The sequence below is a fragment of the Homo sapiens genome, chromosome 9, assembly GCF_000001405.40.
Source record: "Homo sapiens chromosome 9, GRCh38.p14 Primary Assembly".
Lineage (NCBI taxonomy): Eukaryota > Metazoa > Chordata > Mammalia > Primates > Hominidae > Homo > Homo sapiens.
Genome location: NC_000009.12, coordinates 3,971,521 through 3,994,976, shown reverse-complemented (window position 1 = coordinate 3,994,976; position 23,456 = coordinate 3,971,521). Strand labels below are relative to the sequence as shown.

The 23,456-nt window shown below is 38.8% G+C and overlaps 1 protein-coding gene and 2 long non-coding RNA genes across 15 annotated transcripts in view; 1 reads left to right on the top strand and 2 right to left on the bottom strand.

The window, feature by feature from the left end:
- The window catches only part of GLIS3 (GLIS family zinc finger 3), a 666,339-nt gene that overhangs the window by 495,489 nt on the left and 147,394 nt on the right, over positions 1–23,456 (top strand). The window lies entirely within an intron of this gene.
- On the bottom strand, positions 471–23,195 carry LOC105375964 (uncharacterized). 2 transcript variants are annotated; one of them, XR_007061399.1, is made up of 3 exons: positions 23,102–23,195; positions 20,554–20,648; positions 471–1,028 (listed from the first exon to the last, which is right to left on the bottom strand). It is a non-coding gene; the product is annotated as an uncharacterized LOC105375964 (long non-coding RNA). The 2 variants fall into 2 exon arrangements; XR_929445.3 differs by having other exon boundaries at positions 23,019–23,111.
- LOC124902111 (uncharacterized) lies at positions 13,814–15,160 on the bottom strand. The gene is made up of 2 exons (XR_007061400.1): positions 15,020–15,160; positions 13,814–13,958 (listed from the first exon to the last, which is right to left on the bottom strand). It is a non-coding gene; the product is annotated as an uncharacterized LOC124902111 (long non-coding RNA).

The window sequence follows — 23,456 nt, the reverse complement described above, 5'->3', positions numbered from 1 at the left end:
CTGAAATTGTTAGAATAGCCCCAACTCTTGCTCTCTGCTCCTGATTGCTGGGCTTTTTGTTTGCTTGCTTGTTTTCTGGCCTCTGAGGCATTCCCTCACTTTATCTGTAGGGCAGCCATGCATTAAAAAAGAGATTCTTTTAAACACTTTAGCCGCCATTTTTAGATGTGCTGCATCAGAAGTGGTTTCTCGGAACATTTCATTTGCCATATTGCTGGGGAAAGAAGTAAATAAGGAATCAGTTTTGATTTTTAAAAAGACAGTGTTGGTGGCAGGGTTGAGCACAGGCTGACATCAGGGAGAGGCTAGAGGTCAGGAGGCAGGTTTTAGTTCTGTTAATTTATTCACACAGTAATGTAGAAATTCCATGTAAATACTTAGATCTCATTATACAGGCAAGTTATGCAAAAACTCAAAAACATATTTTAATAATTATTAGTTATGGAAATAGTTGTTTACTCTTTGTGGTGTTTTAAGCTAGGTTTGTGAGTCAGAGCTTATTTTCAGTCTCACTTTAAAGAAGACATACGCTTGCCAAATCCTGAGTGAGAAAAATGAATCCCAAATCAAGGTGTAGGTGTCAAAACTGCAGCCTCTCTTGCCAGCATTCCTTATTTGCCAAATATTTTCAACCTAAAGAGGGCAGCTGTGCCCGTTCCAGGCCATGGGCTGTACTGTGAAATGGCAATTGAAGTGGCTTTGTATTTTTCAATGTAAAGGGTAATGAGACCATAATGAGAAACTACCGGCTGCATCAGTTTCATAGATCCAACAGGTGCTTTTTTAAAAGGCAGATTTATATGATCCGAAGAGAAACCAGAGTATAAAGCAGGTGGTTCTTTGGAACAGCAGTTCTCAAAGTGTGGTCCTAGACCATGGAACTTTTAAAAAATGCAGATTCTTTGGTCCAACCCAGACCTTCTCAGTCAGCAAACTCTGAGGGTGGGACGCAGAAATCTGTGTTTTAACAAGCTCTCTGGATGACTCTGATGCGTAGTAGAGGTTAGAAATGACTGCTCCTGGGAAGCCTGGGTTAGAACAGAAAGGAAGTGAGTGTTCAGAAAAGATAAGGCAAAATTTTCTTTGTCAAAATACTTTTAAAATGTAGCACTGCAAATTATTTATAACAGAAAAAAAATGACAATTTTTGTGACACCAGCAGTAATACAACAGTAGGCCAATAGTAATCTAGCAGTAGGCCAATATTAAATGAATTATGGTATAGCCATTTGCTAAAATCATGCAATCATCAACATTATTTAATAATATTTAGTAATGAGGAAAATCTTATGATAGAATGTTTAAATGAATGTTGATATATACAAACAAATATGCTTATGATGGCATATGTAGGCATATGTGGACATTCATTAGGAACCTAGGGAATTCCTTACTTGTCCCTGGAAATACCTGAAAATGGTGTATGTTAGTTTTCCTCAGATAGTGGACTTATTGTGGATTTTTACATATACATGAAATGTACATATACATTCATACTTATACATATTTCTAAATTGTCTATATGATAAAAAGTTTATCATATTTGACTTGGTACTAATAGTATTTTATTAACAAATTTCATAAAATACTACTAATATTAACGAGAAAATAAGCTACTTTTAAAGTGGTAGTTGAATTCCACTGAATTTCAGGCTTCAGAAGATTAAAGATTACACCTGCCTCTCTGACTGCCCTCGGAACTGTCAGGGGAAGCAGCAGTACAAAGAGATCCTGATCTGACAAACAGTATGAGGCAATGGCAGAGTCAGGTATGTTGTCAGTGGGTTTTAATCTGGAATATTTTCAGGCCAGTTCATGACACTGTTGACTGGCCATGAATCTTGAAAGCTTGAGAGCTGGAGTGAGAACACAGGAAATGCAAAAACCTTTTTCCCCACCATCCTGTAGCTCAGAAAATCCCCAACATCTGGCTCACGTGTAAAGCCAGGAAAGATATGATTTACCCTGGCAGCCGGCCTTACTGAGAGCCTTAGCTGGTTGGCTCCATGTCACACAAGAAAAACACCCTATAAGGATTTGCTGAGGATTTTATTCACAAGTGGAAAATCTTCATACACCTCAAACGAAACTAAAGAAAATGTTGTATGATACCTCCTGAGGGATAAAAGTGTTTGACCTTATCAGAATTGGTCATGGTAGAGATTATTAGATGTCACACTGTCTGATCTTTTGTTTTCCACCAGCCAAATTAAAACTGGAAAAGTACTGAGAGAGGGATACCTTTACAAAGGTAGTGAAGACACTGTTAATTTTTTGTTTTTACTCTTACGATGAAAATTTTTAAAAAATTGTCAAAAGTTGAAAAAACAGTTATGTTGAATAAGTCCATCATCCAGCTTTAATACTGTTTACTCCTTAATAATGGAAATAAATACAGTTGTTCATATTGAGTTTCTGGGAATAACTGTACCAACTCTATCTCATAAACAACCATCTCCTCCTTTACGCTGAGGATTTGCTTTAGTACCTGTGTGCATTCACTGTTTATGCATGAGGAGGAAGGGAAATGCAGTTTTTTTGAACTCTTCTCAGCAGAACCTTTAACAAGGAAACACATTTCTTTATTGCCCTCATTCCCAAGAGAAGCAACTATCATTACACAGACAAGTCATTTTTATTATTTCCTTTTATTTGCTTTCTTTAGTTTTCTTTCACATTTCATATAACTGAAATGAATCACTTTTTCCCCAAAAAATTACTTCTGGAAAACATATTTTTTTACACTAAGCATTAGTCTAGGCACTGTATAAAGTGAAAATAAATGCCACTACTCCTTGTCCTCCAAATGTTACATTCTAACATCATTTGTTGTGACTGTGACAGGAACAGACAGAGCTGCCCTAAAGCAGAGTTTTAAATGGGGAATCTTATTTTCTTACTTACTCTATATTATAAAATCTGACTTCAGTTTGTCTAAAAGTAATTGGCCTTAAGATACAGTGTCTCATTTAAAAATTCAGCCTACTGGCCGGGCAGGGTGGCTCATGCCTGTAATCCCAGCACTTTGGGAGGCCGAGGCGGGCGGATCACGAAGTCAGGAGATCAAGACTGTCCTGGCCAATACGGTGAAACCCCGTCTCTACTAAAAATACAAAAAATTAGCCAGGCATGGTTGCAGGCGCCTGTAGTCCCAGCTACTCGGGAGGCTGAGGCAGGAGAATGGCATGAAGCCGGGAGGCGGAGCTTGCAGTGAGCCGAGATCCCACCACTGCACTCCAGCCTGGGCGACAGAGTGAGACTCCGTCTCAAAAAAAAAAAAAAAAAAAAAAAAATCAGCCTACTTAATGAAATTCTGAACTATATAATAATATGACAGTAACCCCAAGATAAGCAACAGTTAAAATATGAAAGTATAATTAAAACAAAAATGAAAGTATCAATAGTTCCATCGATTACCATGTGAAGTATGGCAAATTAAGATATAGGAAGTTAAGACTCCGAGACGTGTTTAATTTTTCTGAGTTTCCCAGCATATTAAGCCTCCAAATGAAATCACAACTTCAGCTGTTATGTCCAGGTTTTTTAATTGATTCATTTTGTTTTATTTATGCTGTCTCTTGTACTTAATGTCTCTTCAGACTTGTACCCAGTGACATCTGCTGTGAACCCTTTTTTTTTGTTTTTTTGTATCTTCATTAAAGAGGCTTTGAGGGGAAAGTAAAAGTAAAAGTCAAAATGGACATTTGTCTTAATGATGGCTACTATTGTACCCATTTGTACACTTATCTCCAAGGCATCTCAGTAAAGTGCCTTCCCATTTTAAATGCAAACACAGCTTCCTCCTACAATATGTCTGGCAGGTGACTCCTTTTTATCTAACATTCTCTCCCTACAAGTGGTTGCAGGAGCTGGGTGTTTCTGCTGCTATTCTCAGAGAAACCTTTTGCTTGAGAATTAGTTGTGATAAAGAGACTCTAAGGTGCTTGTCAAGTTCCTTAACCCTAATTTTTGTCATCAGAAACATCAATCTGATTCCTGGCTAAACAAAACTGCTTCACTTAGACATTCCGTATTTCAAAGAACCCCTTGGTTGGTTAGGCCTGTTTTTCAAAATTGAGGGCATGCTTGATGTCAGGGATGAACCTGTATATTTTGGAAGAGAGGGAGAAAATCAGTTCTGTCATTAAATTTGTATGAAATTTAATTTGTAGAAAATTTAACATTTTTAAATACTAAAATATACATACGTTTAGCTATTTGAAAACTAATTCCAATGTTATGACTGCACAATTTCAGGTTAGTTACACCCTTGGCTGTCTGAGTGTGAAATTTTCCTTCCCTCTTCTGTATAGTAGAAGGCAAGGGCTATTTTGGAGGGAAACTTTAAGAAGTAGGGATTCACACAATCCTCAGGGTGCCAGGAAATTTCTGTTCACCCTACAGAGCCAGAATATTGTAAACTCCTACTTAATGGGAACTTCTTTCGCATGCCACAGATTAAATTGCCAGAAAGGTTAGGGATGCATGAGGTGAGTTTGTTCCTCATTCACTGATCAATGCTACTGGTTTTCTTTCCATCATGAGCCAAGGACTGTGCCAGGTGCAGGTCGATCTTTGGTGAAGAAAACATGCGCCATTGCCGTGTGCAACTTAAGACCTGTTGGTATCAGTAATTGCCAGTTGATTGATAGGATGTTTGCTAGCATCTCCCTTCCTCCGGAATGATTCTAATATTATGTTAATGTAACATTCCCTCCCCTTGCTTTTATGAAATGGTGGCTTTTTGGTGATGATTAATGGAATGATGAAGAATGATGCAAAAAAGCAGTTTGCCCTCGGCTCTTTCCACATTGTACAGCAGGCCTTGGTTGTCACATGTCATCTTTGAAAATGAACTTCGTGGTAGTAATATTTCCTGGTTTCTTCATTCACATTGTGACAGCTTTCAAGTGTTTGTTGAGATAATTGTAAATTCACATGCACTTGTGAGAAGTAATACAGAGAGAGCCCTTGTACACTTTATCTAGTTTCCCCCAATGTTAGTATTTTGCAAAACTCTGCAGTATGATATCAACCCGAATATTGAACTTGATACAAATCATGACCTATTCAGGCTTCCTCAGTTTTGTACTCTTTGTGTGTGTGTGTGTGTGTAAGTTCTATACAATGTGTTGCTAGTGCAGTTTCTTGTGTTCACCATCACAGTTGAGATACTAAGCATTTCCAGCACCACTAATATCTATCCTATTTCCCTTTAATAAATACATCCACCTACTTCCTATACATGCCATCCCTAACCTTCCTGGCAACCACTCATCTTTCCTCTAGTAGTAATTTTTTTCATTTAAGAAATGTTGCATACATGGACTCATACAGTATGTAACTTCTTCGGAGTGGCTTTTTCACTCAGCTAAATTCACTGGAGATTCATCCAAGTTTCCATGTATTGTATTCCTTTTTATTGCTGAGTAATATTCCATGGTATGTTTATTCCACAGTAGTTGACATCTGCCTGGTGAGAGACATCTGGGCTGATTGTAGTTTAAGCTATTACAAGTAAAGCTGCTATGAATATTTGCAAACAGTTTTTGTTATAACATAATTTTCATTTCTCTGGATAATTATCCACCACTACAATTACTGGGTCATATGGTAATTTTATGATTAGTTTTATAAGAAAACTGTTTTCCAGAGTGCCTGTACCTTTTTACATTTCTGTCAGCAATGTATGAGTGATCCAGTTTCTTCACATCTTTGCCAGTATTTGGTATTGTCACTCTTTTTAATTTTTAGCTATTCTGATAGGCATGTAGTAATATTTCATTGTAGTTTTAATTTGCCTTCCCCTGATGATTAGTGATGTTGAACATCTTCTCATATGCTTATTTACCGTCTGTATATCCTCTTTAGTTAAATATCTTTTCCCATTTTCTATTTGGATTGCTTGTTTTATTACTATTGAGTTTTGAGATTTTTTATAATATACTTTATTTACTGGTCGTTAGTTGGATATGTGGTTTGCAAATGTTTTCCCCAGTCTCTCTGTATTTTCATCTTCTTCCCATGAGGTTTCACCAAACAAAAGTTTCTAATTTTGATGAGAACAAATTTATACATTTTATGGATCATGGTTTTGGTATCAAGTCTAAGAAGTCTTTGCCTAACTCTAAATCCTAACAATTTGTTTCTGGCTTTTTTTTTCCCTGAAAGTTGTATGGTGCTGTTTCTTACATTTAGGTCTATATTCCATTTAGAGTTCATCTTCGTATAACGTATGAGGTTTAGGTCAAGATTCTTTTTCTTTTTTTTTGTCTATGCGTGCTTGATGGCTCCAGCACCAATTGTTGTAAAGACTATTCTTCCTTCACTGAGTTGATTATGCATCTTTGTCAAATATCAGTTGAGGAATTTATGTGGGCCTGTCTGGGTTGTCTATTCTGTTCAATCGATCTATGTATTAATTCATCAATACCACATTGTCTTGATTACTGTAGCTATACATTAATATAGGGCTGTGCCTTTTCATATAAATTTTGGGAGAATTATGGGAACCTCACTTCCATTTAGGTTTCTTTACCTTTCCCATTTTTATCATCGTCTTGAGTATCAAGTGGTATTATAACTTTTATTTCAGTCATCAACATAACAGTAAATTTGCTTTTTTCATTGTATCTTCTTCCTTCTTGATGTGCCAGGATTCCTTCTTTTATCATTTCCTTTCTGTTGGAAGATCTTTCTTTAGTCAGTCATTAAAGGTGGGTCTGCTAGTGACAGAGTCTTTTTCTTCATTGAGAATGTTTTTTTATTTTTTTATTTTTTTCATTTATGAAGGATAGTTTCTCTGAATATAAACTTCACAGTTGACAAGTCTCTCCTTTCACCACTTGAAACCGCTTGATTCTGGACTCCATGGTTACAGATTAAAAAGCCCAGTCATTAGCTTGATTGTGGTGAATATTTCACAATGTATACATATACCAAATCATCAAGTTGTAGACCTTAAATATATTAAATTTTAATCATCACTATACCTCAGTGAAGCTGGAGGGAAAATGTGCTGTCATTGAATTGATGTTCATGTATCGTTTTTCTCTGGATTATTTCAAGATCTTCTTTCTCTTTAGATTTTAAATTTTTAATTATGATGTGTTTTAGTGTATATTTTCCTGAGTTTATCTGGTTTGGATTCACTGTTTTTTGAATCTGTAGGTTTATGTTTGTGTTTTGTTTTTTTTTTTTTTTTTTTTTTTTTTTGCCAAATCCAGGGAGTTTTCAGCCATTATTTCTTTTCTTTTCTTTTCTTTTTCTTTTTTTTTTTTAAACGTTGTTTCACTCTTGTCGCCCAGACTGGGGTGCAGTGGCGTGATCTTGGCTCACTGTAACCTCTGCCTCCTGGGTTCAAGTGCCTGCCTCAGCCTCCTGAGTAGCTGGGATTACAGGCGCCCACCACAACGCCCAGCTAATTTTTGCATTTTTAGTAGAGACAGGGTTTCACCATGTTGGCCAGGCTGGTCTCGAACTCCTGACCTCAGGTGATCCACCCGCCTTGGCCTCCCAAAGTGCTAGGATTAAAGGCGTGAATCACTGCACCCAGCCCATTATTTCTTTATATACTCTTTCGGTTCTACTCTCTTTCTTCTCTTCTGGAACTCTGATGATACAAATGTTGGGTCTTTTTCTAGTGTCCCACAAGTCCCTGAGGAGCTGTTAATTTTTTTTCTCATTATGTTTGCCTTTTTTGTTGAAATTGGGTAAATTTTATTGTCCTGCCCTCAAGTCCACTAATTTTGTCCTCTCTCACCTCTACTGTTGAGCCCTTCCAGCAAGTTTTAAAATCTGTATTACTATTATTTTATTATTATAATTTACGCTTTTCATTTTTTGTAGCTTCCATTTCTTTTCTGGAATTTTCTAATTTTTTCCATTTGTTTCAAAAGAATTTGTAATTCATTGTTGAAGCATTTTTATGACAGCTGCTTTAAAATCCTTTTCAGATCATTTCAAGATCTAATTCATCTGATCCATTTTGGTATTGGCATTAGTTGACTGTCTTTTTTTACTCAAGTTGTGATTTTTTGGTTCTTAGTTGATGGGTGATTTTAAATTATATCCTGCACATTTCATATGTTTGGAAACTCTGGGTTGCATTCCAAACTTTTACTTTAGCAGGCAGACACCCTGTTAAGTTTAGCACATGGGTCTTTGCCTACTTTAGTGGGCTGTGCTTCCAAGGGCAGTGGTTTTCAAAGCCTTTACTATTTTTGGTTGGCTCAGTTTATTGGATGCTGCTGGGGCTTCCACTGGTCCCTGCTGGTACTGCCCGAGGGGGCAAAAGGGCTTCACAGTCAGGCCGCCAGATGACTTTCAGTGGAGGAGGCCTGTGGTGAGATTTCCCTGCCAGTGCCCCTGCTCTCAAGACATTTAATAGTTAATTAGGAGCCCAGTCCTGTGCCTCTGGAGAATAGCTTATATGAATTGAGAACTCATTGGTACAAATGGAACTGGGGAAGAAAGGTCAGAGGGCAGAATTAATGCTGATAGAAAAGTATTCCTAATTGTACACAGTTTTCATAAATCTGCTTGAGAGATCACAGTGGGGGTGGTGAGAAGGGAGTGGAATTCTGTGAATTTTTATGACACAAGGAAGCTTCAGTCCATATTTAGAATTTAATTCATAGTGATCATCAGAGCCAAGCAAAATTATCTACAGTTGTATCCGTGCCTTTATTTTTCGGTCATGATGGACTCCTAAACTGCTGAGTGAACACATTTACATCTTCTCTGCTCACGAGAGGTATTAGCAGAAGACAGAGGGTATCTTGTTGGAGAAAGTGCATGCCTGCAATGTAGACATGCAAAACACCACTGTTCACCAAACCCAGTGGCTCTAAGATATTGAAAATGCATTTTGTAGTTTTAATTTTCCACAAATTATTCTGTAATTTAACTAAAGAAGACTTCCTTTTTCTTCAGGAAAGTCCTTCTTGACTGTTTCTTGCTTAATTTCTTTTTAATTAGCATGACTGATTTATTTCTCTTCTTTTTCTCCACAAATGAATTTTTAATTGATGTGGGTAGAACAAACTATGTAGTTTATAGATTAGCAATATTATACAGTTTTAATTTTAACTGGGAATGCCAGGAACTAGAGGGAAAGTAACTTTTACAAAAGTAGATTGTTCCATCACAAAATTGTTTGACTTTGTACAAAATGCTTCTAACGTGGATGACCTCTGCTTCCATTGAATGTTGCATATGAGAAAACTTCTTTCCCAATCTTAGATTTCTCACATGAGCTAAAATTTTGCTTCCTTTGCTAAAATTTTTTATTACTTGAAACATCTCTTCCTATTACTAATTGACATTGTTTCTTAGAAAATAGTGAATCTAATAGTAGCTGTTGTATATCTACACAATCTGTGGTAGAAGATGACATTCTAGAGAGGAGCAAACATCTGCTTTCTGGGCCCAAATATTCATGTACCAAGAAGCAATGCTTTGTAATTAATGATTCCTCAAACTGTAGAAGTTTCATTCTGACAGGACACTTGTATTTAATTTTGACTGGGGCTGGGTGCAGTGGCTTACACCTGTAATCCCAGCACCTTGGGAGGCTGAGGCAGGCACATTGCCTGAGCTCAGGAGTTTGAGACCAGCCTGGGCAACACGGTGAAACCCTGTTTCTACTAAGAAGTACAAAAAACAATTAGCCAGGTGTGGTAGCACACACCTGTGGTCCCAGCTACTCAGGAGGCTGAGGTGGGAGGATTGCTTGAGACTTGGAGATGGAGGTTGCAGTGAGCCAAGCTCTTTACTGCACTCCAGCCTGGACAACAGAGCAAGACCCTGTCTCAGTAATAATTAATAATAATAATAATTTTGACTGAAATGGTGAGGAAAAATGGGTTTTTTTTTTTTTGTGAATTGAGCTCTGTACTAGTCTGTTCTTACACTGCTGATGAAGACATACCTGAGACTGGGCAATTTACAAAAGAAAGAGGTTTAATGGATTTACAGTTCCACATGGCTGGGGAGGCCTCACAATCATGGCAGAAGGCAAGGACGAGCAAGTCACATCTTACATGGTTGGCAGCAGGCAAAGAAATCTTGTACAGAGAAACTCCCACTTTGAAAACCATCAGATCTCGCGAGACTCATTCACTATTACGAGAACAGTGCAGGGAAGACACGCCCCCACAATTCAATCACTTCCCACTGGGTTCCTCCTGAAACATGTGGGAATTATGGGAGTTACCATTCAAGATGAGATTTGGATGGGGACACAACCAAACCATATCATTCTGTCCCTGGCCCCTCCAAAATTTTATGTCCTCACATTTCAAAATCAATCATGCCTTCCCAAGAGTCCCCCAAAGTCTTAACTCATTTCAACATTAACTCAAAAGTCTACAGTCTAAAGTCTCATCTGAGACAAGGCAAGTCCTTTCCACCTGTAAAATCAAAAGCAAGTTACTTACTTCCTAGATATGATGGGGGTACAGGCATTGGGTAAATACAGCCATTCCAAATGGGAGAAATTGGCCGAAACAAAGGGGCTACAGGGCCCATGCAATTCCCAAATCCAGCGGGGCAGTCAAATCTTAGAGCTCCAAAATGATCCCCTTTCACTCCATGTCTCACATCCAGGTCATGCTGATGCAAGAGGTGTGTTCCCATGGTCTTGGGCAGCTCTGCCCGTGGCTTTGCGGGGTATAGCGTCCCTCCCAGCAGCCTTCATAGGCTGATGTTGAGTGTCTGCAACTTTTCTAGGTACAAAGTGCAAGCTGTCAGTGGATCTACCAGTCTGGGGTCTGGAGGACAATGACCATCTTCTCACAACTCTGCTAAGTGGTGCCCTAGGAGGGACTTTGTGTGGGGGCTCCAACATCACCTTTCCCTTCTGCACTGCCCTAGCAGTCCCTAGGCTGCACACAGCACACACAGTCCCTGGGCCCAACCCACAGAACCAGTTTTTCCTCCTAGGCCTCGGGGCCTGTGATAGGAGAAGCTGCCATGAAGACCTCTGACATGCCCTGGAGACATTTTCCCCATTGTCTTTGGGATTAACATTTGACTCTTCATTATTTATGCAAATTTCTGCAGCCAGCTTGAATTTCTCCTTAGAAAATGGGATTTTCTTTTCTATCGCATTTTCAGGCTGCAAATTTCCAAACTTTTGTGCTCTGCTTCCCTTAGAAAACTGAATGCCCTTAACAGCACCCAAGTCACCTCTTGAATGCTCTGCTGCTTAGAAATTTCTTTCGCCAGATACCCTAAATCATCTCCCTCAAGTTCAAAGTTCCACACATCTCTATGGCAGGGGAAAAATGCCACTACTCTCTTTGCTAAGACATAACAAGAGTCACCTTTGTTCCAGTTCCCAACAAGTTTCTCATTTCCATCTGAGACCACCTCAGCCTGGACTTTATTATCCACACCACTCTCAGCATTTTTGTCAAAGCCATTCAACAAGTCTTTAGGAAGTTTCAAAATTTCTCACATTTTTTTGTCTTCTTCTGAGCCCTCCAAACTGTTCCAATCCCTGCCTGTTACCCAGTCTCAGAGCCGCTTCCACATTTTTAAGTATCTACAGTAGTGCCCCCCTCTGCTGGTACCAATTTACTGTATGAGCCTGTTCTCATGCTGCTGATAAAGACATATCAGAGACTGGGCAATTTACAGAAGAGGTTTAATGGACTTACAGTTCCACATGGCTGGGGAGACCTCACAATCATGGCAGAAGGCAAGGAAGAGCAAGTCATGTCTTACATGGATGGCAGCAGTGAAGAGAGAGCTTTTGCAGGGAAACTCCCCTTTTTAAAACCATCAGATCTTGTGAGACTCATTCACTATCAAGAGAACAGCACAGGAAAGACCCACCCCATAATTCAGTCACCTCTCACCATGTTCCTCTCCTGACACATTGGAGTTATGGGAGTTATAATTCAAGATGAGATTTGGGTGGGGACACAGCCAACCACATCAAGCTCCATGTGCAGGAAATATAACAAGCGCAAGAGAATGTTGTTTCTTGGCCAAGAGACCCTCAATCAATGTCCTTCACTTTGATTTTCACTCTAGTTTCTTCTAATTCTAGGAATTATGGCTTCATTTGTGCTTATATTTAAGAGCCAGTGACCCTATGGTGACTTAGGCCTCAATTATCCTACCTTCTTTCTGGGTAGCTGCCTGAAGCCTTCCATATAGGATGGAGAAAATAAGAGAAGTTGAGATGCAAGCCAACTTTTTTTCTGTTTTGGCGAGAAAAGTTTTGATGAAGAAAAGAGTTTGAAACTATCTGTTGGCTAAAATCAAGGGAGCAGACATGTAGTATCTTTGCTAGGCTTGGCCTTTCTGACTGGCCAGAAACAGAAAGGATCTTATAAATGTATTAGTTTTCACTTATTTCGATATTAAATATATAGCAAATTTTTTCCTGCATTCATGAAGTGATCCAGCTTTTGTCAACAAGAAAAAGAAGAAGCTTCCCCTGTGTTTTCCGTCATGGGTTACTTGTAAAAGAGGAATGCAGCCATTCATAGAAACACTGTAGTAAGTAGCAAAACTTTGATCTTTACAATTCCAGATGACTAGAGTTGTAATGAGCTGTGCACAACCTGGTGAGAGCAAGTAGGACTGTACTGGGGTAGGGGAAATGTGGGAGAGATGGTGTCTTCCTGCCAAGATTGCCTTGGATAGGAGCTGCGTTTAATACAAAGGAGTGAAAAAAGAGACAATAAGAGGCAGTGTAGTCAGATGATCTCTTTTTAAAGTTTATGTAGCTATGTAGGAAAAAAAAAAACAGAGAGGTAAAGGTACCTCCTGCTGGTAGAGGAAGGGCAAATCATGGGAAAGAAAAACTTTGAGAATGTCATGTTCTTTTCTGTTCTATGCATTAGCAAGTAAATACAATAGCACTATGTGGAAACAGCAAAGGAATTAAAATGTGCCATTCTTTAAAGGTATAATGGAATTAGACAGGCCAATCCAGCATTTTTTTTTAAGTGTAAGCAATTACTTTGCAGGTGGAATAAGATTAAAACTGTTAACATGACTCCCTCTCTCCCTCTGTGGCAGATACACTGGAGCTTAGAGCCTGCCAAAGCTCTCCAGAAACTTTTGAAGTAGCTCTCAGGGTTTTGAATGTCCCATGAAAGCAATTTGCCAAAAAGTGGCTAGGCATCCACCTGGGGAGGTTCTAGTCTTCTGGATCTGCTTGGTAAGGTTATATGCTACAAGAGGTCTCATGAAAAGTATTAGTATGATGTCTTCCAAAGCCCCAGAAAACCAGCTACACTGGTTTTTAAAGGTTTTTAAAGGAATTTGAAAAGGCTTTATCATCTCACTGCAAAGCAGTTTAATTGGAACTATGTATCATACCCCTGATATGTTTCAGGTGCTGTGTTTGGCATGGGACATTCTCAGTAAGACAGGGTTCCTGTCCTCTAAGTTTATGGTCTAGGACTGGCTGCATCAGAGCCACCTAGGAGGGCACTTAACCCGGACTCATGGGGTCAGGGAGGGCTTCCAGAAGGAGGTGATGGCTGAGCTGCCGCCTGACCGCATGATCCTTATGGTGAAGAGGCACATTTTGAATTAGACAGTTCTCCCAAGGTCTAAATTACAGCCTTGGAAGCTAGAGTCAGGCTTTTGCATCCAATGTCGACTTCTCTCTGACAAATAGCTTTTGTATAAAATTGGGTGAGCTTATTAAGGTGAACTCACTTTCTGATTCATGTATAGTGCAATATTCTGGCAGTACCTGGTTGAAGTGAAAAGACCTAAAGTCCTGTCTCCTTTAATACAAAATTCATTTTAAAAATGTCCCAGTAGAGGGCTGAGCACAGAGGGCTAAGGTTTTAACAAAGGCTTGTTTAATTGAAATGAGGACATAAACTCCAAGAGGTAGCGGAGGAGAGAAGTTAGGGAATCTGCTGACCCCCTCCTCTCAGTTCTTGGCTGCTGCCCGAGTTCATCTTTCTTCAGTTCGTCCAGCCCTGCAACAAAAGAGCGCTTCAGTTCAGCAGAGCAGCGTAGAGCTTGCACGCATGCTGAGCAGGAGGGCTGTCGAGAGAAACCGTGTAGTAAATACAGAACGCTCATTGAAATGCCAAGTGTCACTACTTTGGCATTTAATTATCTGACTTGCTGGCAGCTGGAAGTAGGGAAGCAAGCAGAAAAAAAGAAGAAGAAGAAGAAGAAAAGTCAGTGAGAAGCAGAAGGCAGAACTGGACAGTGATCTGATGTAGAAATTGGGCCAAGAGCAATACTTTCTAGGCACATTCTTAAAAAACCTTTACCTTGTATTTAGTGTTTAGAACTACCTGCACTTTTTGAAAAGAAATTCCAAATAAAATGCCCTCTGATTAAAAAACATTATCACTCTGAACATACAGAGGCACAATCAATGAACTCTTACAGTGAAGACCATTTTAGGTATGTTCAATATGGGCTGTCAAAGGTGTCTAAACACACAGCAAGGTCATCTGGGAAGCAAACTCGAACAAAGCAATACCAGTGCTGTGGCAGCTCCATCAAATTTGAATTAAAATGACTTGGCAGCCTGCTGGTATGTCTGGCTTACATTTCAGGGTGAGGAGAGAGATATGGACTCTGGAGGTAGCAGACAAGGAGTTTAATCCCAGCTCTGCCACTTACGTCGAGTGTGAACCTGGGCCTCCTCTTGGTGTATCACTTCTCTCAACACTTACGTGCTTCTCACCAGAAGCTTTCATTGTTTGGGGAATTATGCCAGCTTTAAAGTCACGTTATATAGTGCCTAGCACAAAAAGCCATTTACACTAGAAGCTGTGTTGGAAAAAAATTTTTTTCTTTTTAAGCAGCAGACCTCTTACTTTAAACAAAATATGATATAGGGCCTGTGTTCTGAAACCAACAGGAAGAAGTCCACTGCTCAAAGAAACTGGTCTCTCCCAACTCCAGACACCAACAGTCCTTTCTCCTAAGGTCACTTTTTGGGGGAGACCTCCTCTGACCCCAGACTCCTAAACGGCAAGTCCACCCCACCCTCTCTTTTGCCTGCTTCCATGGTACTTACCGTTATCTGCCGTTCCTTACGTTGACCCATTCTGCTGTCGGTCTGCTCCTCCCCGCTGGAATATATGCCACATGAGAGTGGTGACTTTATCTGTTGTGTTCTCTGTTGTATCCCTAGTTCTTCCAGAAATACCATCTGGAACTTAATAATTATCTTTTTAAAGTAGGCACTCAATAATTATCTTTTTCAATGAATGGCACATAAGTAGAGACCAAGATTGATGCCTGTGGATCCTACTGTGATAGTCTAGTGTTGGGGAAAACAGGTACCAGACATCCATAAAACTGTGTGGTAAGTGTTGTGCTGGGTGAAGTATGGAGTGTCATGGGGACACAGGGAAAGGCCCTAACCTAGACATAAGAGGTCCAAGAAGGCTTCCTGAAGGAAGTACTCAGAACAATTAAGAAACTGAAGCACATAGAGGAGAAGTCACTGTCCCAAAGTCACATAGCCTGAAACGAGGCAGAGCTGGTGCAGAGCAATGAAATGGCATTGGCACACGGGCTGTGGTCTTCGCTCGAAGCGTGTGCTATTTAGATGCTGCAGAAGTCAGTGTTAAGACAACATGAAGGATGTTAGTCCTGTCTATGAGGAGTCAATACAACTTTGGCTACACCACTGAAGGTTGACCAGAACAGTGAGGGAGACTTGCAGGGATTGGGTCCAGAGAATGTTCAGGTTATTCTGGGGAGTGATGAATAGCATTGCAGAGGAAGTGGAGATAGAATTGAGGATTTGAATGATGCTGTGAAAGTGGTAGTAACAGGTTTAGAGTGTTTTGTCAGGATCTGATCCAGGAGAAGATGCTTCTAAGAAACATATTCTCTACCCATTAGAACAGTGATATAATATATGGTTTTCCCTAAGTATCCATGCAAAATTGGTTCCAGGACCCCATGAGGATACCAAAATCCATGGGTGCCCAAATGTGTGATATAAAATGGTATAGGATTTGCATACAACCTACACACATCCTGTATACATCAGATAATCTCTAGATTATTTATAATACCTAATGTAATGTAAATAGTTGTTATACTGTATTTTTTATTTGTATTATTTTTATCGTTGTATTTTTAAAAAATATTTCTAATCTGAGGGTTGGTTTTGTGCACATGTGGAACTCAAGGATGTAGAGTGCTGACTGCATATGAAATCTTTTTTAAAAATGCAGATACTTAGACTTGGGAGTGCCAGCTCTAATAATTTATCCTAAGATAATTTATTCGAATATAATAATCAAATTATATAGTGTGTGTGTATAATACATACTCATATATAGAAAGTACATGTTCATGTACTCTGTATTAGTATTTATATATATATATACACACATATACACATAACATTGCAAAATAATCTGAGATTATCTGAATGTCCAGCAAGAGGGGATTGATTCAGTAATGTATGGATTATTTATACAATGCAATAGTATATAATTGTTAAAATGATGACATTGGTATATATTTATTGATATGGAAAATAATACCCATATTATTAAGCAGAAATATTAAGCAGAAATCTTTACAGTATGTATAGAATGGTTTTATTTTTTAAAGAAAAGTGTACACACATATTCCCATCAAAGTGTGGAAGATATATACCAATATAGTAATAGTTTCTATATACTAATAGTGTTTATTTATGTAATATTTATTCAGCCAATGTTTTTCTTCATGTAACAAGAATCAATGGAAAGGAATACAATGACAACTCTTCATTATCCCCACCCAGTTTAAAAAAAAAAAAGGTTTAGACTTTGGCCAGTTTTTCACTCTGAGATTACCATCCGCTTTCCTGTACCATCTGTGCAGAGGAGTGTCCACAGTTAAATGGGAACTTCTACAGCGGGCTTCACCCTTCATCCCAAATTGAGTCCTCCCTTCATTCTCTGGGAGCTTTTCATGAGAAAGATCCATTTGCTTGTCAGTACTCAACCAAGACCTCCCATTTGTCTCTCAGGTTTGGAGCAGCGGAGGGTGCACCCAGCGGTGTCAACTGGCCTTTCGCTGTCATGAAATATTACCATTTCACACTCACAAATAAAAGTTAGCAGCATTTCATTGCTGCGTGGTGTGAAATTAGACCTCCTCACCAGCTGGATGCAACAGCCTGCTGTAGAAATGGTGATGACTGCTAGTGTTCCTGGTTCAATTCAATTAAGAATATTTTTTTCTCCTCTTTGGTGAAAGGGGTAGTCAAGATGAATGCCTTGCAAACTTCTGAAATATGTACTTGTATAAAAGAACTATTAAAGTAAAGTAACATCTCTATGATCTTTGAACTAAGCCGTCATTCTGCCATTATTGATGTGGCTGCTTTAAGCCGTCTAATTAAAATCGGAGTGACAGATTTGTTATTGAAAATCTGAAACCCAGCTCACATCCCATACAGCACATCTGAGCAGGGTATATATCTGCTGTTTTGATGGGCTCTCAAAATTGCTAAGCTGTGCCGGGTGCCAAAAGGAATTCAATAAATCTTTTCTTTTCTTACCGAGCAGCTCTCATTAGTCTTTTTAATAATAGCACTAGTGGATATCAACCTCAGTTCTCCAAAATAAATTAAATGTGTCCATTAGGGTTGTAATTATAGCATCAGATATGAGTTTATTCTGCTACAAAGAGATGGCAAGGCTGATAGAGCCAAGAGCTTTCCTCTCGGTCCTTACATTTTAAACATTGCTTGGTGTATAAAATGTGGATCTAATATCTGGGTGGAGGAGGGGTGGCCTAGCAAGGTCTTTTGTCATCTGAACTGACAATATTTCTCCCGGCTTGGGAGTTGTAAGCATTCGGTATCGAGTGGTGTGAATTCTGCAGATCCTAAGTGAAAACTGGTCATCAACTAGCAGTATGCAGTTCAGAGCCTGCTGAACAAACTGCATAAACCTCAGAGTAGGAGAACATGACAGAAGGCTGCGTTATCTGAAATTTTAGCTAATTTTTTTTTAACTAGCAGGAGCCATCTGTCATGATTATTCTGATTCAAGGGCTAAATTGAACGGAAGGCATTGCTGGGCGATTAAACAAGTTCTCTCAAAATATTTTCATACCTTTCTGTCTTGTCAGAAGCTTTTTTTTTTTTCCACCAAAGATGTCATCCGATTGTGGATTTTTTTTTTTTTTTTTTTTTTTTTTTTTTTTTTTTTTTTTTTTTTTTGCAGGGGGAGGATTTCTGTCTCCCATGCCATAGAGAAACCTTGTCACTGTGTTGGCACTAAGGAATGGGGTGAGATGCAAGTAAATGGGTGTGTCCTATTTGAAGCTTATTCTTCACTTCTGGCTCTTGCAGCCTTATGGTGATGTTACTCTTGGGCCTGATTGAGATGTTCTGAATTCATCCAGATGTTCTAAATTAATTCATTAGAGGTTTCTTCAGAGGGTGTCAGAGGGGAGCATTTCAAGAGTCCTTTTCCTACTCATACTTAGAAAGGGGAAGGAGTTACTGAGCCGGAAAAAAAAAATAGGCAATGGGACAGAAGACTGCATTTGGTGGCAAGAATCTGCCATCGCTTTCTTGTCATTCCAGTTATTTTTCCACTTCAGCCTCCAATTTGGAAGAAAAATTTCTGTGATTTCCTATGTCATGAGCAGTAACACAGATTTTGGAAGCTCTGTCCTCTTGGACAAGTGTGGAAATATAAAGTTTGGAAAGATATTTACATCTTTTAAAGATGTATGGAAGGTAACCTGCCTCCCCTCTCATCTTCTAACTTCATTATTAAAAGAAAAAAAAAATTCACATGTTGATGTGAAGGCAACTGGGTGTCATTTCCCTTTAAATAGTACAAAACATATGGGGGCAGGATTGCATTTGTCACAAATTGTCAAAATATTTTTTTAAAGAAACCAAAATCTTCTAGGGATGGTTCCAAATGTGCCTGATTTCCCTGAGCAGTGAGCAGTGCGACCTTTACATTAGCAGATATATTTATAAATACACATATGGCCCGCCAGGACCTGATTGGCTGCTGATCTGATGAGACAGCGACAGATTTAATGGTGTTTCACCTACCTGGGGTTTAGTTTTTTTAGTTACTGATTTACCTTAGCAGTTTTCACTTACAGTCACCTAATTTATCTGTGTTTTATTGACAGGTGCAATTTTTTAATGAGGGCTGTGGAAGCAGAGAGAGGTTTTGAATTTCTTGATGTTTTCTGTGGGGTCTTTATATGATGATAGCTTGATATTTTTCCTCCTAATGAATCTGTGAGACTTGTCACGATGGACAAAAACCAGTGACATAAAAAAGAACCAAATATGTTTATTTGGAAGAGTGCAAGTAAAACCTTAAGGCATGTTACTGGTTTCTAGTCTATTTTAGACTTTTTATTTTACTTAAAAGTAAGCACCTATAAGGTACTTTTTGCTTCTCAAAAAAAAAAAAAATGATGCAATGCAAATGCAGAAACACAATAAAGTACCCTATCCAGAGGTCAGCTAGGTTCCAGAAAAGTGCCAGAGGTTTGTATTCCAAAAAGTCAAATCGCCCAAGGTTACTTTGACAGATACAGCAGTAATGGCTCTTACTAAACAGGGTTCTGAAGGTGTTAGTAATACTTTTAGGATGACTTTGGACAGTGTTATTCAATTTTTAAAACACCATGCCCTCTTCCAATAAGCACAAAGCAAATCTCAGTCCTTTCCCTATTCCTGTGCCCCCCTGGGAGTGTACTTGTTTTGTACATTACTCTTCCAACTGCCCACTCCCTCTCCTGTTGAGAATCTTCTTGGCTGCTAGTTTAGAATGGGCTTGTCTCCATCAGCCAAGAAGATTTCATAGGGCTAGACTCACCAAGGTTTGTGTTACAAAAATGAAAGGTATGTTTCTATATTCACAATATAAGATTATATTGTTTAATGTCCTTTTTCAAACTACATTGCAACCCCAGAAATTCTAATCTTTTCCCATTCCAGCTGCAAATCCCTGATTTAGGAGGCTTCTCTCCCCTCTTCGCATGCCTCTTCCTCCAAATCCCACACATCCTCCATGTGCCTTATCACGTTTCTAGTCCTATCACCTTTCTTTTTCTTTTTAATGTTAACATTTCTGGTGCTTTTTGATTCCTGAATATTCACCTTTTCTTAGCTGATGACATTAAAGGACATTTTCTCCTACACTAAGACAATGAAATTGCCTGAGCGAACTGCATACTTTTACAACTGAGTTCATTTCTTTTTCAGCTTTGCAGGCACAGTGAAATGTGTAAATAGGGACTTTAATTCTCCCTCAGCTGCAATTCATAGTCTTTAACACTTCCTAGGTGGAAAAAAAAATATGAATGCTGTTCTTTTAAACTTGTAATAGTTTCATTGTATATTCCCCATGTACTCTCAGCCCTCTGCATTAGGGAGCGATTGGTTTTTCTGCGGGCACAAATGGTGCTGATTGACTTTTAGAAAATAGCAGAGTCCTCATATGTCTGTCATTGGGATAGTTTTCTGCTCCCAGTCAGTTCCCCAATTGCATTAAAAGCACTAAGCAATAGAGATTTCAAATGGGGACAGAGTTTCTTTATGGAACTTACTACCTTTTTATATCTGTGGACAAGGTGTAATCCAGCAGCTTCTGTTGATCAGAAACACAACCCCACTGTTAACTCTGCATTCGAGGGAGGCTCTGTATCTAGAATTTAATTAGAAAAGAAGGAAAAGGGTAAAACTAAACCATAGTCTCTTTGTATTCACTGAATTTGTTGATTGCAGTAGAAACCATTCATTAATTTATTCAAACTCAGTTCTTGACCTGCCACTGTATGTAATTCATAAAATTTCATGTTGGGAAAGAAAAAAAAAGGTGTAAATCCAGAACTCTTTCCTCTGTTTTCATGTATGGTTGGGAAGGTCTTGAAGAGCTTTACACATCTCACTTGCAAAATAAAGTATAAATGAGTGAGAATTTGTACCATATGTCCATTTATTTTTCGCACTTACAGGAATCATAAGTGATCTGAGCTCATAAATGTTTGATTTTTTTATAAGAATTTTCTTTTAAGAAATCTAACATAGATCTGTGAGGCTTGAGATTACAATAAAAAATTTGGTTAGCTTTCAGCAGCAACATTAAGTAAACATGTAAAAGTTTTACAAAAATAAGATGTCGAAAATTTTAATGGTTTCCCTTCTTAATTATGTGGTTTGAAATGGTGTGTATTTTTCAAGCTCTTTCTCTGTGATTCTCATTTTAACTACTATTGGGATGTTGCCTTCTGGTTTTGATAGTCTTAATTTTATGTTATTAGAGATATTTATTCTTAGATTTAATTTGCTGCTTATTTAAAAATTTCCCAACAGCTTTGTGTGAAAATGATTTTTATAGTAAAGTATCATAGTTAGGAATAGGCTAGGATTAGCACGATTAGTAATAACAGGTAAATTTTTTGTGTAATAAAGAACTTGACTTCGCCCAAAGAGAGTTCTCCTTGCCCTCAACTTCTGGGAGGTAATTCATATTAATATCTGATCGGAGTGTCTTTGTTTAATTTGGGAGCTGGCCACACCAGATATTAGGTTGGACCAGCCACACCCAACAGTGTTAAGGTGGGACAGGCCATGCCAGGAAGACCAACCATATAATTTAGAGTGGAGGCTTTGGGACACACAATATCAGTCAACTTGGAGACTGAGATCTACCACATAAACAATTAATCAATGATGCAATGGAGCCCTAATAAAAACTCTAGACACCAAAGCTCAGGTGACCTTCCCTGGATGGCAGTACTCCGTGTATATTGTCACACATTTGATCCCAGGAGGATATCACACTCTGAGAACAATGGCAGCATTTGCATTTGGAACCCTAGCAGACTTGCCCTATGCATCTCTTCCCTTTGTTGATCTTAATATGTATTTTTTCTCTGTAATAAACCATAACTATGAATATGATAGCTTCAGTGAGTTCTGTGGGTCCTTCTCATGAATTATTGCACCTGAAGGTGTTTTGAGGAACCCCCCACCACCATAGACTTACAGGTGGTGTCAGAAATGTGGAGGAATTTGCCCTCAAACTTTGCAGTTTGCTTAACTCTTGCAATCAGCGTCAGAAGAGAGATTCACTAGAACTACCGTGACTCATTCTAACGTGTTTTGGGAAGAAGTATTACAATGCAAAGATCAACATATGCTTTTCTATAAGCGAAGTCTCTCTTAAATCATTTTTTAAAACAACTTGAGGAATAAATTAAAACATATAAACTTACTAATACCAGGAAAGTAAATATATAAACTAAACACACAGATAGAAAGAGTTTTCACATAGTACTATAACCTCAAGTCCTAAAGCTTTTGTGCCCACCACATTTCATAGTATTTTACAAGGAGAAAAGTGCCTAAAGATGGCTTATGTGAAATGTAACCCTATGATAATCTATCAGAAAGCAAACAAACAAACAAAAAAAACCCTTTTTGAAACTACAGTCAAGAAACCAGAAATATGGAAGCTGGCAAGCCCAAATACTAAAAGAGAAGCTCATGCTTCCTTTGGGAAGCTCCCCATGAGGACCCCATTATCTGTAACACAGGGCCTTTGCAGGCTAACATGCCCTCCAAAACTGAGCAGTGACCATACTCTCCTCTCCCATTTATAGGATCCAGAGATAACCAATAATCAGAGTATAGAATGAGGGACGTTTGAAGTTACATTAGGTAGAGGAATAAAGAACTGGGATGATTTGTCATATGCACAGATTTCATCCTAAAAAGAGAAGAACCATCTTAAGCCTTACTGGAGGGGATAAGAGGACCTATATCTAGTTTCATCTTCCCCAAATCAAGCAGTACTTACCAAAGCAGAAGTTTTTTGTAAACAACATAGACATTTACTCTTCCATAGGAAAGTATACCTTTATATGGCATTCTGATCTAGACATGAAAACTAGTAGAGATACGAAATGCTAACACGCTAGTGTGTTACGTGAGCAGTAAGTGTCCCAAAACACCTTTCTGAACAAAAGCCCCTTCTTGGACCACAAATAGCGGGATCTTTCCTGTTACTCACTGTTTTCTCCAGAGCAAACACATGCCACTCAAAACAGCAATATCCTCAGTATCCCCAGCACTGCCTCCAGTGCCATTGCTGACCTGGAGTGAGATGGGTAAGATGTGAGTCAACTCCTTTCTTTCCAACTCTGGGAAGCAGCAGAATAGTCCAGCATTCTAAAGTGTGGTAGGATTTAATTGCTGGAGCCAATCATCAGTTAAATACAAGACAGTGCTTTTCAAAGAACTATTATTAGAGGCTTAAGTGTAAATGCACGAAATAGAGCAGTTACGGTGTGCCAATCAGATAACCATAGGCCTGTCATGCTACTGTGTGTACCGTGGGTTAGTTTGTTGTGCTTAGACCCAGCTTTGCATCCTGGCAGTCATGTGCCAACAGAGCCCTTGCATGTCAGTTGTGTCTGTGTCTTTGTTGTGCAATAGATCCCTTTTCATT